The sequence below is a fragment of the Homo sapiens genome, chromosome 9 (genome assembly GCF_000001405.40).
Source record: "Homo sapiens chromosome 9, GRCh38.p14 Primary Assembly".
Taxonomy (NCBI): domain Eukaryota; kingdom Metazoa; phylum Chordata; class Mammalia; order Primates; family Hominidae; genus Homo; species Homo sapiens.
This window is the reverse complement of record NC_000009.12, coordinates 111,270,048-111,285,108: the sequence shown is the minus strand read 5'-3', so window position 1 is coordinate 111,285,108 and position 15,061 is coordinate 111,270,048. Positions and strand designations below refer to the sequence as shown.

The 15,061-nt window shown below is 39.5% G+C and overlaps 1 long non-coding RNA gene and 1 other non-coding gene across 2 annotated transcripts; both read left to right on the top strand.

Annotated features, from left to right (window-relative positions):
• The first annotated feature begins 233 nt into the window (after window positions 1-233).
• On the top strand, window positions 234-12,566 carry LOC105376219 (uncharacterized). The gene is made up of 2 exons (NR_188622.1): window positions 234-489; window positions 12,144-12,566. It is a non-coding gene; the product is annotated as an uncharacterized LOC105376219 (long non-coding RNA).
• Window positions 12,567-13,894: 1,328 nt separating this feature from the next.
• MIR7702 (microRNA 7702) lies at window positions 13,895-13,953 on the top strand. Its single transcript, NR_106989.1, has one exon. It is a non-coding gene; the product is annotated as a microRNA 7702 (primary transcript).
• The last annotated feature ends 1,108 nt before the right edge of the window (window positions 13,954-15,061 follow it).

The following is a 15,061-nucleotide window of genomic DNA, read 5'->3' as shown; positions in this document are numbered from 1 at the left end:
CGGAGAAATCCATACATCTAAAAATCAATGCAAAATACAAAAGTCTAACTCAAAAACATTTAAAAAATGATGATCCTTACTATTGTTTTCTTGTGAAGATGGGGGAAGGGTTTCAGTGCATACGTTAGAACAAAACTCCCTAAAAGTCCTCTGTAAGCATCTTTCTTCCGTAAAGTTAGTTTCACTCCACATAGCAGCTGCTCTATTTCTTCCCTTTTCACTTTCTCTTTCCCACCATTTGCCTGAAGCTCCTCATCCCCTTCCTTGTGCCTCCTCAGAATTCTACCAGTGCACCTCATTCAGACATTCATCAAGAAAAAGGCCAGCTGAAGGCAGACAGCCAACAAAACTCAGTCGTTAGCCACAGCCCTGGCTGTCCTCGTCCATCAAGCCTGCCCATTGTGAGCTTCCATTCATCTTACCTGTCTGTTATGGAAGAGTGAAGTGGAAAAGGCATGGAGGACTCAGAAGACCTGCTACCGAGAAGAGGTGTGGTACAGTAAGCTTATTTAATGCTGAGCCCCATCTTCCTCATTCTACAATGAGGCTAGTAATTCCCACCTTACCAACCCGATAGGGCTGTATAAGGGCCAAATTCAATGATGCATGTGGTGAAAGTGCTTTAAGAGCTGGAAACACTTTAATACTGCTATGAGATTTAGAATAAGAATGTGATCACTGGACGGGGGTCTTAGAGTTATCTAGTCCTACCCTTTACTTTAACAACGACAAAATTGACAACCCAGGAAGTGTTGTAACTCACTCAAGGCCATATAGGCAGGTAGAAGCAAAACCAGGTTAGAGCTAGTTTTCCCAGTTTGATGGCCTAGAGTTAGAATGAGTTTTCAACTGTTCAATAATGGAACAAACACAGATTGATCAAATGGCTTTCAGTGTTGGAAGTGACGCTAGCAGATTAAGGATAAAATGGAGGAATAGAATCAGCGATATTGCTGACAGTGGACAAGGGAAAACCACATGAAACGGGGCATCGATGTGGGAAAGAGTGATTGAATTCTTTGAGTTGTTGGTCAAGATGATAGGGAGTCAGTAACATTTGTTATCCTACCTATTCTAAAATGCCACACAAAGATGTGTTTTGTTTGGAGTATTTATTTATTTTGAATGATTAATGATAGGTTATCATCTCAAATTGAACTCCCTAATTTCCAGTCTTAATTATGGCTCTACAACAGCTGTGGATATGTTTCAGAAATTCGTTTACTGGAATGAGAAAATTCCCCTTACCCATGAGTCATAAGAATCTTCTTGCCATTGGAGTTTTATTTTAATAAATCCAGTGGGTTTTTTTTTTTTTTTTTTTTGAGATGGAGTCTCACTCTGTCACCCAGGCTGGAGTGCAGTGGCATGATCTCGGCTCACTGCACCCTCCACCTACTGGGTTCAAGCAATTCTCCCAGCCTCGCCTCTTGAGTAGCTGGGATTACAGGTGCCCACCACCACACCTGGCTAATTTGTGTGTGTGTGTGTGTGTGTGTGTGTGTGTGTGTATTTTAGTAGAGAATGGGTTTCACCATGTTGGTCAGGCTGGTCTTGAACTCCTGACCTCAGGTGATCCACCCACCTTGGCCTCCCAAAGTGCTGGGATCTGCACCTGGCCAGGCAAATTATTAGGTTCGTGATGTCCAGATTCTCACAATCTGCCTACACGTGTTGCTTACCTTTTATTTGGGATTCTCCATCACTTGGGTGAATAGACCTCAGATAAGGCAGATGGCCAGGTCATTCTCTCCTTCTAAATGGTAATGTCATGAGATACCTGATGACCAGATGGTGGCTAGGTGAGGAGCTGGTGCTCCCAGGTAACAGATTGATATGCATTAGGAATGAAGTGAGCTAGTTTACTCTATGTCTTTGCTTTTGTGTTTCTTCTGTTTACATGTCACATGATGTGTGCTCTTAAAGCTTACTCTGCCATCAAGTGTTACCATTTTTCTTAAGCAATTCCTTCAAGGGAAGTTTCATTACCTCTTTCTTTGAAATGATACTCTCCATCTGTTTTTGTTGGCAACACATGGAAAAATTTCCAGTACCCAATTAAAGTTATGCAGGCTGATTTTCATTCATATGTTGCCAAACATTTCTGACGCTTGTGCATTTTTTAAAAATAAAAAATCAATGTCCCTTGGTAGTCACTTTCTGAACTTTCTAGAGCTTACATCTGTTCCAAGTCCTCTTTTTGGCGGTACTAATTTTTATTTCTTGTTATGGAGACAGCATTTTTTTTTTTAATGTGAGGGACAATTCCTTGAAGAGCTCTGATAATGCTCATTCAAGTTCTTACCATGAACAGTGGGCCGGAGTATATGTATATTGCCGTGGTTAAAGTATATAACTTTAATATACATTCACAGTTTTTATTATCTTCTTGTACAGTTTTGAAATTCTCATGTCTGAAAGCATGTTTTGTCTCATCACATCTTAAACTCTTGGACCTATTCTCAGGATGGACTTAAGGACAATAAGAATTTATCTGCTCATTGCCGTATTTACAATTCATCACAATTAATTTCATTTGATATAAAACAGATTCTGAAAGAAACTTTTTCAATTTTAACATGTTTGGATACTTCATGAAAAAAAAGCCATACAGAAGCTAGAAAGAGGGGGTAGATCTGGAGAGTGAGAAGAAATTATATATTCTGATTGCAGGCTCTATGGGGGAGAGGGGAGGGAGGGAAAGAGAGAGAGACAGAGGGAGAGAGAGAGAGAGAGAATGAATAAATCCTAGATAGTAGGTGCTGAGATCTGAAACTTCCTTGAATCCAGTCATCCTTGTGCTGAGTGTTTCCTGGGGAAAATGATGCTTGCAGGTGCGTATAAGGTCAAAATAAGTAAGGCACAGGGTTGAGTCTGAGCTATTGGTTGAGAGTTCTAAGAATCTGTGAACCCAAATGATATGGACCACATCCAAGCATGTGGCTGTGTTTCCTCTTTTATTTTTTGCCCAATAAAGTCAACAGTTGCACAAGTGGTAAATTATTGGTTAATGATGTCCAGGTACTCACAATCTGCCTACACGTATTGCTTATCTTTTAGCCTTGGGTTCTGTACTACTTGGGTGAATAAACTTCAGATGACATCTGTTGCCATTGGTAGAAAAGCCTGAACTAAGGGGTCTATGCCTGGAAGTGGAGCACAGTTATCACAAAACTAATGGGTTGGCTGGGCGCAGTGGCTCATGTCTGTAATCCCAGCACTTTGGGAGGCCGAGACGTGTAGATCACCTGAGGTCAGGAGTTCCAGACCAGCCCGGCCAACATAGCGAAACCTCGTCTCTACTAAAAATACAAAAATTAGCCAGGCATGGTGGCATGTGCCTGTAATCCCAGCTACTAGGGGGTGCTGAGGCAGTAGGCTCACTTGAACCTGGGAGGCGGAGGTTGCAGTGAGCCGAGATTGAGCCACTGTACTCCAGCTTGGGCAACAGAGTGTGACTCTGTCTTAAAAAAAAAAATGCTGATGGGTTGCAAGATTTTGATAGAAGTGTGGGCCCATTTTGCCATAAATTTATCAGGAAAAAAAGCTGGATCATACCTAAGTTACCGAACCACCTGGGCTTCACTAGTGACCTTATGTGGCAGTGTCAGCCCGAGAGGCAGTAGGGTATGGGGCCATCTGGTAGACAAAATTTTCTCTCTGGCTCCGTCCATGTTCCTGCAAAGGACATGATCTCACTCTTTTTTATGGCTGCCTAGTATTTCATGGTGTATATGTACCACATTTTCTTTATCCAGTCTACCTTTGATGGACATTTAGGTTAATTCCACGTCTTTGCTATTGTGAATAGTGACACAATGAACATATGCATACATGCATCTTTATGATATAACAATTTCTTTTCCTTTTATACATCCAGTAATGGGATTGCTGGATCGAATGGTAGTTCTGTTTCTAGCTCTTTGAGGAATCACCACACTGCTTTCCATAATGGTTGAATTGATTTACGCTCCCACCAATGGTGCATAAGTGTTCTCTTTTCTCCACAACCTTGTCAGCATTTGTTATTTTTTGACTTGTTAATAATAGCCATTCTGGCTGGTGTGAGATGGTATCTCCTTGTGGTTTTGATTTGCATTTCTCTAATGATGAGTGATATTGAGCTTTTTTTCATATGCTTGTTGGCCACATCTATATCTTCTTTGGAAGTGTCTGTTTTGTGTCCTTTGTCCACTTTTTAATGGGGTTGCTTGTTTTTTTCTTATAAATTTGTTTAAATTCCTGATAGATGCTGGATACTAGACCTTTATCAGATGCATAGTTTGCAAATATTTTCTCCCATTCTGTAGGTTGTCTGTTTTCTCTGTTTCTTTTGCTGTGCAGAAGCTCTTTTGTTTGATTAAATCCCATTTGTCAATTTTTGCTTTTGTTGCAATTACTTTTGGCATCTTTGTCATGAACTCTTTGCCTGTTCCTATGTCCAGAATGGTATTGCCTGGATTGTCTTCCAGGGTTTTTATAGTTTTGGGTTATACATTTAAGTCTTTAATCCATCTTGAGTTGATTTTCGTATATGGGGTAAGGAAGAGGTCCAATCTTCTGCATATGGCTAGCCAGTTATCCCAGTACCATTTATTGAATAGGGAGTCCTTTCCTCATTGCTTGTTTTTATCAGCTTTGTCAAAGATCAGATGGTTGTAGATGTATGTCCTTATTTCTGGGCTTTCTGTTTTGTTCCTTTGGCCATTATCCTTAGCAAACTAACACAGGAACAGAAAATCAAATACTGCATGTTCTTACTTATAAGTGGGAGCTAAATGATGACAACACATGGACACAAAGACGGGAACAACAGGCGCTGGGGCCACCTTGAGGGTGGAGGGTGGGAGGAGGGAGAGGATCAGAAAAAATAACTATTGGGTACTAGGCTTAGCATCTGGGTGACAAAATAATCTGTACAAAAAACCTCTGTGACATGAGTTTATTTATATAACAAACTTGCACATGTACCCCTGAACCTAAAATAAAAGTTATTTTTTTTTTCTCTCTCTAAAAGGCATTTGTAACCAGGAATGAAGCTTTGAATTGAACAGTCAATTCTTGGGGTTGGTGGACTTATCTTGGATGTGATAGTGGTGTGTTGAAGGAGGAAGAATAAAAGGCATGCTTTAAAGAGAGATGAAGGATTCAAAAATAAGTGACTTTGTTTTATATCCTAAGCTACTAAAGCAGGAACTATCTGTTGCATAATATTAATTCTATGAGATTTTCCTTAAAACTGGAAAGCAGAGAAATCACTTTCCAATTGTAAAGGATGTTTATGTTTTTAATTATTACATTCAATCTAGAATATGTAAAAATCCCATAAAAGGGTAAAATGTCAATATTTAGATAACAGAGGTCATGGTATTATGCAAACATGGTGAATCCTAGAAGGCTTTAGGCAGATTTTTCTCTCTCTCACTTGGGAGAAAGAGCACATCCTAACAGTCTCTGGTCGGTGTTATTTATCTGAAAGGGGAATTTCTACTTGTTTTGAATGAAACAAAAATATCTAGGGCATACTTTGATAGGTAGAAACAAAATGTACAATTTTGGGGTCTTAGTATTTCTGTGGTATTTGTCTAATTAGAATCTCATTTGACTGCATGTGTTCCCAAGCTAGCATAGAATTCTTTTTTTTTTTTTAAAAAAAAAAGCCATAAAATTACACATCACAGAACGTAAATTCTGAATAAAAGACTTGAGCAGGAAATAGGAGTTTTATGGCCTTTTAACTCTTTTGTATGACTTACCTTGCAACTCAGTGGTGAAGAAGAGCATCATGGGAAGCTTATGACTTTGAAATCATACTGATCAGGGTTTGAATTGTTGCTGTAGCATTTGCTAGCAAGTGTGACCTTGAACCTCAGTTTCCTTATTCATAAAATCGACCTTGTTATAAGAATAAGAAATCTGTGGCCAGGTGCAGTGACTCACACCTGTAATCCCAACACTTTGGGAAGCTGAGACAAAAGGATCGCTTGAGCCCAGGACTTTGAGACCAGCCTGGGCTACAGGGCAAAATGCTTTCTCTGCAAAAGATATTAAAAAAAAAAATAGCTGGGCATGGTGGCACGTCCCTACAGTCCTGACTAGTTGGGAGACTGAGGTGGGAGAATTACCTGAGTCCAGGAGGTTGAGGCTGCAGTGAGCCGAGATAGTGTCACTGCACTTCAGCCTGGGTGACTGAGCAAGACTCTGTCTCACAAAAAAAAAAAAAGAAAAATTTGTTAAATAAAGTTCCAGGCACCTAGCAGCTACTCTTTAATGGTAACTATTATTATGAGGACATGTGTTTTTTATTCATGAGTTGTACTTTTATGTGTATACATTCGTATAAAATCTATACATAATATTTTTTAGGTTCTTACATCTTTTGCCATCTTTTCAGAAATATACATCATATTAGTAAGCATCAACAATTGATTACATCAGTAATCAACCCCCTTTGTCCAACAAGATAGTATAAAATTATAAAAACTGTAACTTATTTTATGCATTGTTTATATAGATATTATTTTACATTCATTTATAATCTGCATCTATGATTCCTTTTGTACTTGGGCACAAAGTCTAAAGATTGTATTTAGAGTTTTCTAAAGCCTATGAAAAATTATTAGAGGGCAGAGTTCAACAGAATTTTAAGGAGCAAAGGAAATAAGATAATTTCAAAAGATAATGAAGTTAAGTAAATGTGAAAAAAAAAATCTCCATTGGAAATCAAGGGAAAGGAAGCAATAAGATGCCACTCCCCACTTAATGAAATAACAAAGAAAAGAAGAAAAATTGTAAGATAGAAGTTGAAATTCTTAAAATGACAATACCCCAAATTTGAAGAAAAAGTAATGAAAATGATTTTTTTTATTATTTTTGGTAAGAGCACATTTTGAAGGAAAAAAATCATCATAGAAAGCTGATTTGATTATATTTATTGAGAATGAAAATTGTTTATTGACTTTGACTCAATATCCAACTCCTCCCAGGAATTTAGAATGCATTGATTCAGGGAAAGGCTATTGAAGATATATGTTCTTTACAACATTTGAAGCAACGTAAATGCTTAAATTTGGGGGATGGTTAAGCAAATCTCAGCATAGTCATTTAATGGGCTATTGTGAAGTGGGTGAAAAATCATGAAGACTATAAAGCATGTGAAAAATTGCGAATGACAGACTTTTAAAGAGAAAAGAAAAACATAAAAATTGATTATAGGCTATGAACACAGTATGTTTTTTAAGTGGTCCTTCTCTATGCTGGGAGGAGGCTGGTCTGGCTCATTTCTCAAGTCCTTGAATCCCTAGGTCCTGTGAGAGATGTTCTCCCTTGAGTCCTCCTTCCCTACCCCTAAAGCCAGCTTGCTGCTTACAGAAAATACCTTTTGCCCTCTCTCTGGTTCCTTTGACCCACACTTCATTATACAGACTAAATTCTTTAAAGAACAATTCTGCCTTGTGTTTTAGTGTCCTCATAGATGTCTAAATCCAGTCCTTTTCTGTTTACAATTTATATCCACAGGGCTCCAGCACAGATCCTTAGGGGAAAGGGATCGTGCTGGAGAAAAATCTGAGCTGCAAACACAACGCTGTACTGAAAATGACACCTTCCTTCTGGTCCTTACCAGTGTGCTTCGCCTAAGCATGCATGCCACATGTTTCCTTTCCTTATGATGGGTTTTTAGCAAAAAAGCTTCTCACTTTTCTAGTAAATAGCCCTGCATGGGCGATTCCATCAAACATCCAGTCATGCCCAAACCCATCTGAATTTAGATTGAGCATGTTCCAATGCTATTCCACTGAAACCACCAGTCCTCCCCTGACCCTTGACATAAGGTTTTGAAGGATATCTGTGTTGCATATTGTGAACTTTGAATAGACTATATTATTATGTAAAATCCTTACACATTTTTTTTTTCTTTTCTGAACTAGTTTGGTAATTTCCAGGATGGTTTTCACAGAGTCCATTTGTTTCTATGTGTTTTGACAATATAGTCTTAGTTCTGCTACTGGATAGTTATATAAACTTAGATAACTGTTTAATTTGCAATTCTGAATTTGCAAAAAGAGCAGGTGGACTTCAATGTGTTTAAAGCTCTCTTCAGAAAACTCTGGGAACTCTTGATTAAGGACAAGAAGAGCTTCTTAAGGGGACCTTTGATCGTCCTTTCAAATCCCCAGGGACTCAGCCTGTATTCTTACTTGCCGCTGCCTACTTTCTCTTTTGGGGTTGAATAGCCTTCAGATTTTCCTCAGCATGAGGTTTTGTATTTTCAGATCTTATTGTCTTTTTTATGTGTGTGCTGAAAGGAAGCAAATATGTCCTTATAGCTTTGAGTTTTCCTGTTGTAGGGAGACAGACAAAATATAACCAAGGCAATCGTTCTAGAAATTTAAAAAATAATCATAGTTGCGTTCGTAATCTATGTTTCCCAAGTTCCTTTTTTTGTTTTGTTTTGTTTTCAGGAGAAAGCACGAACATAGTCCCAAGTTCCCTGTTCAGTTGGTAGCTGGAAATGCGTTTTAGATGATGCTGAAGGTTGCTTTTAGATAGCTGAGTTTCAGAGTAAGCTACTCATAAGGTAGCCTGAGATAGCTGCTACTGCCAGGTCTGGTGGTACACTGTATTTTCAATCTGTTTTCTAATCTTCTTTCATTTAGTGTTTTCACCCATTCTTCCATTCATCCGTTCATCTATCAATCTATTTCATATTGAATCTCACAACTTGCTATTCAGAAATGAATAAGATTCATGGCCAGGTGTGGTGGCTCATGCCTGTAATCCCAGCACTTTGGGAGGCCGAGGTGGGCAGATCACTTGAGCTCAGGAGTTTGAGACCAGCCTGGGCAACATAGTGAGATCCTGTCTCTACTAAAAACACAAAAAATTAGCTGGGCATGGTGCCGCGTGCCTATGGTCCCAACTACTCGGGAGGCTGAGGTGGGAGGATCGCTGGAGCCCAGGAGGCAGAGGTTGCAGGGAGCTGAGTTCACGCCGTTGTACTCCAGCCTGGGTGACAGAGTAATAACCTGCCTCAAACAAAACAAAACAAAACAAAACAAAACAAAACAAAACAAAAAACAGCATGGCCAACATGGCGAAACCCCGCCTCTACTAAAAATACAAAAATTAGCCAGGCATGGTGACACGCACCTGTAATCCCAGCTACTTGGGAGGCTGAGGCAGGAGGATTGCTTGAACCTGGGTGGCGGAGGTGGCAGTGAGCCGAGATCGCACCACTGCACTCCAGTCTGGGCTTTCAATGAACTTACAGGATATAAAGGAGCAATGTATTGCTGAATGTGAGAAATATAACAATTCAATCATGCACAAAATGAAAAAGCAGCACATTGCAGCCAGTATCTGGCTAGGTTTTAAAGAAGAAAACTTTTTTTTTTTTTAATGAAGACAGGGAAGTACAGAGATTTTCAGGCAGAGGCAATAGTATATGCAAAAGCGCTGATATAGAAAGTAGTGTGGTATGTCGGGGCCATAATGAGAGATCAGCTGGCTGAACAGGGGCCACATCATGAAGAGCTTTGAGTGTCTTGCTAAAGAGCTTGGATTTGATCCTGTAGAGAATGGGGAATCATTGAGGGATTTCAGACAGAGGGAGGTGTGATTCTATTTGTGCCTTGGAAGAATGGATTGACGGTAGACAAGGCTAGAGGTGGAAAGAGCAGCTATAAACATGTCCAAGCAAGAGAAGCAGGACCCAGGCATTATTAGTTAGGATTAGAACAAAGATGGACTAAAATATTTAGGAGGTAAAATGGACAGAAATGGGCATGTTTGGTATTGGACATGAAGAAGAGAAAGGAAGTCAGGGATGACTTATTTGTTCTGGCTCAGGAAACTCAGAAACTTTTGTGGTCATATACTTAGAGGCACTGGAGAGGTAGTTAGGGTTCCTGGTTGAGGTGTTATGATAGACACCTCCAAATACAATTGCTTAAAGAAAGATAAAGTTTATCTTTCAGTTCTTTAAATGTCAGAATAGGTGGCTCAGGCAGCTCAAAACTTTTGGAGACCTAGGCTCCTTCTACCCTTTTTTTCTGTCATTCACAACATGTGGTTTTCATATCAAGATCTGGGATAATTGCTCCAGCCCTGGCCATCATGGACACACTGCACACACACCTTTTCTTTGGGGGAGTGATTCAGAGGCTGAGCTCATCATTTCTGCTTACATTCACTCTGCTCACATTTGTTGATCAATCTTAATCCAAACACCATAGCTAGATGTAAGAGAGGCCAGAAAATGTTTTCACTTGGGCGGCTATGTACCATTGAAAATTCTGGTGTTCCATTATTAAAGGAATCAGGGGAGATTAACGGAATCTAGAGGACAATCACCATGCATGCTGTTTCAAGTGCCTGTTGGATATCCAAGTGGAAATGTCCTGTATGTATCTGAATATGTAGGCTTAGAAACCAGGAAAGAGTCTAAACCAAACAAAAAAATTTCAATTCAGGGCATTAACACTCTTCATTCTTCGGCCCCGCCCCCCCCAGCAGAGATTGCCAATTCTCCCTAAGTATCCATTCTCTCCACCTTCCTATTAGTGATAGGAATTGCAGAAGACCAGGTGACTGCTCAGCTACAGACTCCACCTACTAGCCTCCCTTGCAGATAGGTATTGCCATGTCATGAAGGTCTGAACTTCTTTAACTATATATATATATATATATATATATATATATATATATATATATATATATAAAATTTTTTTTTTTTTGAGACAGGGTCTCGCTCTGTCACCCAGGCTGGAGTGCCGTGGCATGATCATGGCTCACTGCAGACTTGACCTCCTGGGTTCAAACCATCTTCCCATCTCAGCCTCCTGAGTAGCTGGGACAACAGTTGTGTGCCACCATGACTGGCTACTTTTTAATTTTTTGTAGAGATGGGGTTCTTCCTATGTTCCCTAGGCTGGTCTCAAACTTCTGAACTCAAGCAATACTCCCTCCTTGGCCTCCCAAAGGGAGAACTGAACTTTTTTTTTTTTTGAGATGGAGTCTTGCTCTGTCACTCAGGCTGGAGTGCAGTGGCGTGATCTTGGCTCACTGCAACCTCTGCCTCTTGGGTTGAAACGATTCTCCTGCCTCAGCCTCCTGAGTAGCTGAGATTACAGGCACATGTTACCAAGCCTGGCTAATTTTTGTATTTTTAGTAGAGACAGGGCCTTACCATGTTGGCAAGGCTGGTCTCGAAGTTCTGACCTCGGGTGATCTGCCCACCTCGGCCTCCCAAAGTGCTGGGATTAGAGGCGTGAGCAGCCACCGTGCCCAGCCAGAACTGAACTTTTTAATGAAAAAAAATTTTTTTTTAATTTCCTCTCCAAGCATAGTGGCTCATTCCTGTAATCCCAATGCTTTGGGAGGCTGAGGCAGGAGGATCACTTGAAGCCAGCCCAGCCTAGGCCGCATAGTGAGACCATCATCTCTACAAAAAACTAAAAAATTAGCTGGGCTTGTTGGTGTGCACCTGTAGTCCCATTTACTGGGAAGCGTGAGGCAGGAGGTTGAGCTCCGGAGCGTAAGCAGCAGTGAGCTATGATCACACCACTGCACTCCAGTCTGGGCGACAAAGCAAGACCTTGTCTCTATTAAAAAGAAAAATCTGAAACCCTAAATGGAGAAGGAAGAGAGATGTTGAGTCAGCCCACTGGAGCAGTAGTGGAGAACAGAATGCTGGCAACTTGAGACCCTGCACATTTTGGCCTGATGCTTCCAACTTTCATATTTAAATTACTTTTCTTTAACTTTCTTAGTTCTTTTTCCGACCATCAAACTGAAGGTCTTAGAGTCACAGAGTTGCTTTATTTCCATTTAACCAAGAGCAATGTCATTGTAGTACAAAAACAATTCTTTAATGTAACTGTCACTTAAAAAAATACCGGGGAAATAATTGTAGCCTTCATTTCTCTCTGCCTTGTTCTGTACTTAGGTATGTGACACTTTCCACCATAAAATTGCAAGTCCTTAGTCCCATTTCTTATTTATTCATCTCTGTACCCTTATGTCTATCATGTTGTAGGTTCTGCATAAATGGATTTTGAAGTGATTAAAACCACCATTATTCCTGGCTCAATCAGCTGGTTGAAGAAGCAGCTCTCCTATTTCACCTTTCCTCTCTCTTCCAGCCCCATTGCAATCAGAAGATTATTTATGGAAAAAAGCAAAATGGAGATATTTAAAAGACGGAGAGAGACAGCAGAAAGCTGCTTAAGAAATTGCTTTGAGTCCACAGGAGGGAAGCACAAAGGAGATGGGATAATAGTGTTATACACTACATGGTAAGTGTAATAAACTCCAAGCTGGGAGGACAGCAAGGGCACTCTGTGTGGGTTAATTGGTGCCCTGCCTACGCTCGAGAGAGAATAAATTTTCAACCACATCAAAGTCTTCTCCAGAAAAAAAAAAAAGCTCGTTAAAAATCCCATTTCCAGGAACCCTGGCAGCCAGACAATAAGAAGGCTAAACAACAACAACAACAACAACAACAAAAATCACCTCTATTTGGCCTACTACTCCCTCAAACATTAAACTATTTGCCTTGAAAAGAACAAAGAAAGTATGTAAGTAATATGTTTAAATTCAACGTCTTAGAAAGTGGAGTGATTTAGCTAGGGTTGGCTTCGATCAATCTGAGACCTCCCAAAGCCTCAAAATGTATTATTTAGAACTGTGAAAAAATTCACCTTTAGATACTCCTCTGTCCTGTCCTCATGAAATATTTACAGTGTGGTACATAGATGCATACAAAATTGTACAACTCATGATGGGGAAAAAAGGCAGATTGCATTCATTTTCGATGGAAGAATCGGTAGTTCATAGTTTTTCTCCCACAATTTGCCTCATTTATCCCAAGATTGTGTATCACTGTGAGCTCACTGATGGCAGGGAACATACCTTACTCAATTTTTAAGACTTTTACAATTTGGAATAATTTTAGATTTATGGAAAAGTTGCAAAGATATTATAGAAAATTCTCATATATCCTTCACCCAGCATCCCCTAACATTATCATTTTACATAACCAGGGTACATTTGTTAAAACTAAGAAGTTACATTAGTACAATGCTATTAATTAAACTACAGACTTTATCCAGATTTCGCCAGATTTTCCACAAATATCCTTTCACTATTCTAGAATTCAAGCCAGGATACCACATTCCATTTAGATCACTGTTGCGTTTAGATCATTTTTGCATTTAGATCTTATTCACTTTTATATTTCTGGTACCCAGGATGGTGACTAATAGGTACTCAATGTATATTTGCCGAGAGAACAAGCCAGAAAATACAACTAGAATTGAATGCTCAGATACTGAAGAGGGGACTGGGGTGGGGGCCATGGAAGTAGCAGACCTGGATCTAGCACTCAGCAGGGCCTACTTCTGTCTCAAAAGCTTCAAAAGGGTGGAGGGGGCAGGAGACAGTTTCAATGAGCTGAAGAGTGAGTGGGAAGAGGAGACTGAGTGTAGAGAACTTGCAAAGCAGATTGTCAATGAAAGCAAAGGCAGAAAAGATACAGTAATTGAAGGAGAATAAATGTCATAAAAGTAGTTTTAGGAAAGGGAATAGTGAGCTGTTTTGTAGTCTGAGAAAAGGGAAACTTGAAACGGTGGGGGTGTGTTGGGGATTGAAGACCCAGTAAAGAAGAGATGATTGCTGAAATAATGCCCAGGAAAAAGCAGGGGGAATATGATTTGGAGTCTAGGTGGAAATGGGGTCTTGCAGAGACTTATGAAAATTATTGGAATATCTGCTATGTAGTAAGGAAAATTAAATCAACTAAGAATGAAAGAAAAGAATGACATCATTATTGAAAGCCCAGAGATAATCAGGTTATTATATTTTGGGTCTGGCACTAATGACACTTAGTGCCACTCTTAGACTGCCAGACTCCCTGAGGACATGCAGTTTCAGGGAGTCTGGTAGTCTAAGTGTGGCACCAATGCGAGTCTTTTTAAATTCACTTTTTCATTTCTGTTCATATGACTACATCATCGGTCAAATCATTTACTTTGTCCCAGGATTTGGTAACAGGCTTCATTGAATTCATAATGAATAACTTTTGTTTTGTGTTGGGATTCCATAGAGTAACTTGGATATATTAACACTGGAATTTTTCTACGTTGTTTATAGCAAATTATTCTAGTACTATTTATCCTAATAAAAACAGTAACTATAATCAGAATTTTTTGAGCAGCTACTATGTTATAGCAATGTACTAGACATTTTGTGGACTCTACAAGACATCTCCATTTTAACTGTGGGAAGAGTCTTGGAGAGAGTCATTCTTTCAACAAGTATTCATGAAGCATCCTCCATGTGTCAGGTTTCACCTGAGGCAATTGGGATACATCAATGAGAAAGTGAGACAAAGATCTCTGACCTATGATGTCACATTTTAGCAGAAAATCCAAGTGGGTAAATGGTTTACCTAAATTCACAAATGTAATAAGTAGCTGCAATGACCTTTACTAATTTTTGGCTGCCTTGTGTCCATTTCACCTTCTTTTGGAGGGGAATTTTACTTTCCCTATTTGATGCAGTTTTGTAGGAGTGTTAGTCAAGGTATCCTGTTTTCCCTAATTCCTATACACTACGTATATGAATAGTCTTGACTAGGCCAGTTGAATGCTTTTTTTTCTCTGAAATATGACTCCTGTATATAGAGAAAAAAGTACTGAGAATCATTGAAACTTATCCACCCTTCTAGTTTCCTAAGATTTTTTCTAAATGAGATCCCTTGGTGTGTTTATAGGGTTTGTCTTTTCCAAGACTAATTTACTAGACTTCCCTTCAATTCAGAGAGCTCCTCCAAAGCATTCCATCATCATCATCATCATCATCATCATCATCATCATCATCATCATCATTTTTGCTTACACTAGCTTTTGTTAGTTTCTGTTGCTTACTATCAGGAACCTGGATTTGTGATTCCAGAATCAATCCTTTGACTACACTTAGCTTCACTAACATACATTCTGTGATACATTGGAATTCCTGAGAGATTGTCCAAGGATTTTTTTGTTAGCATATATATTCTGAC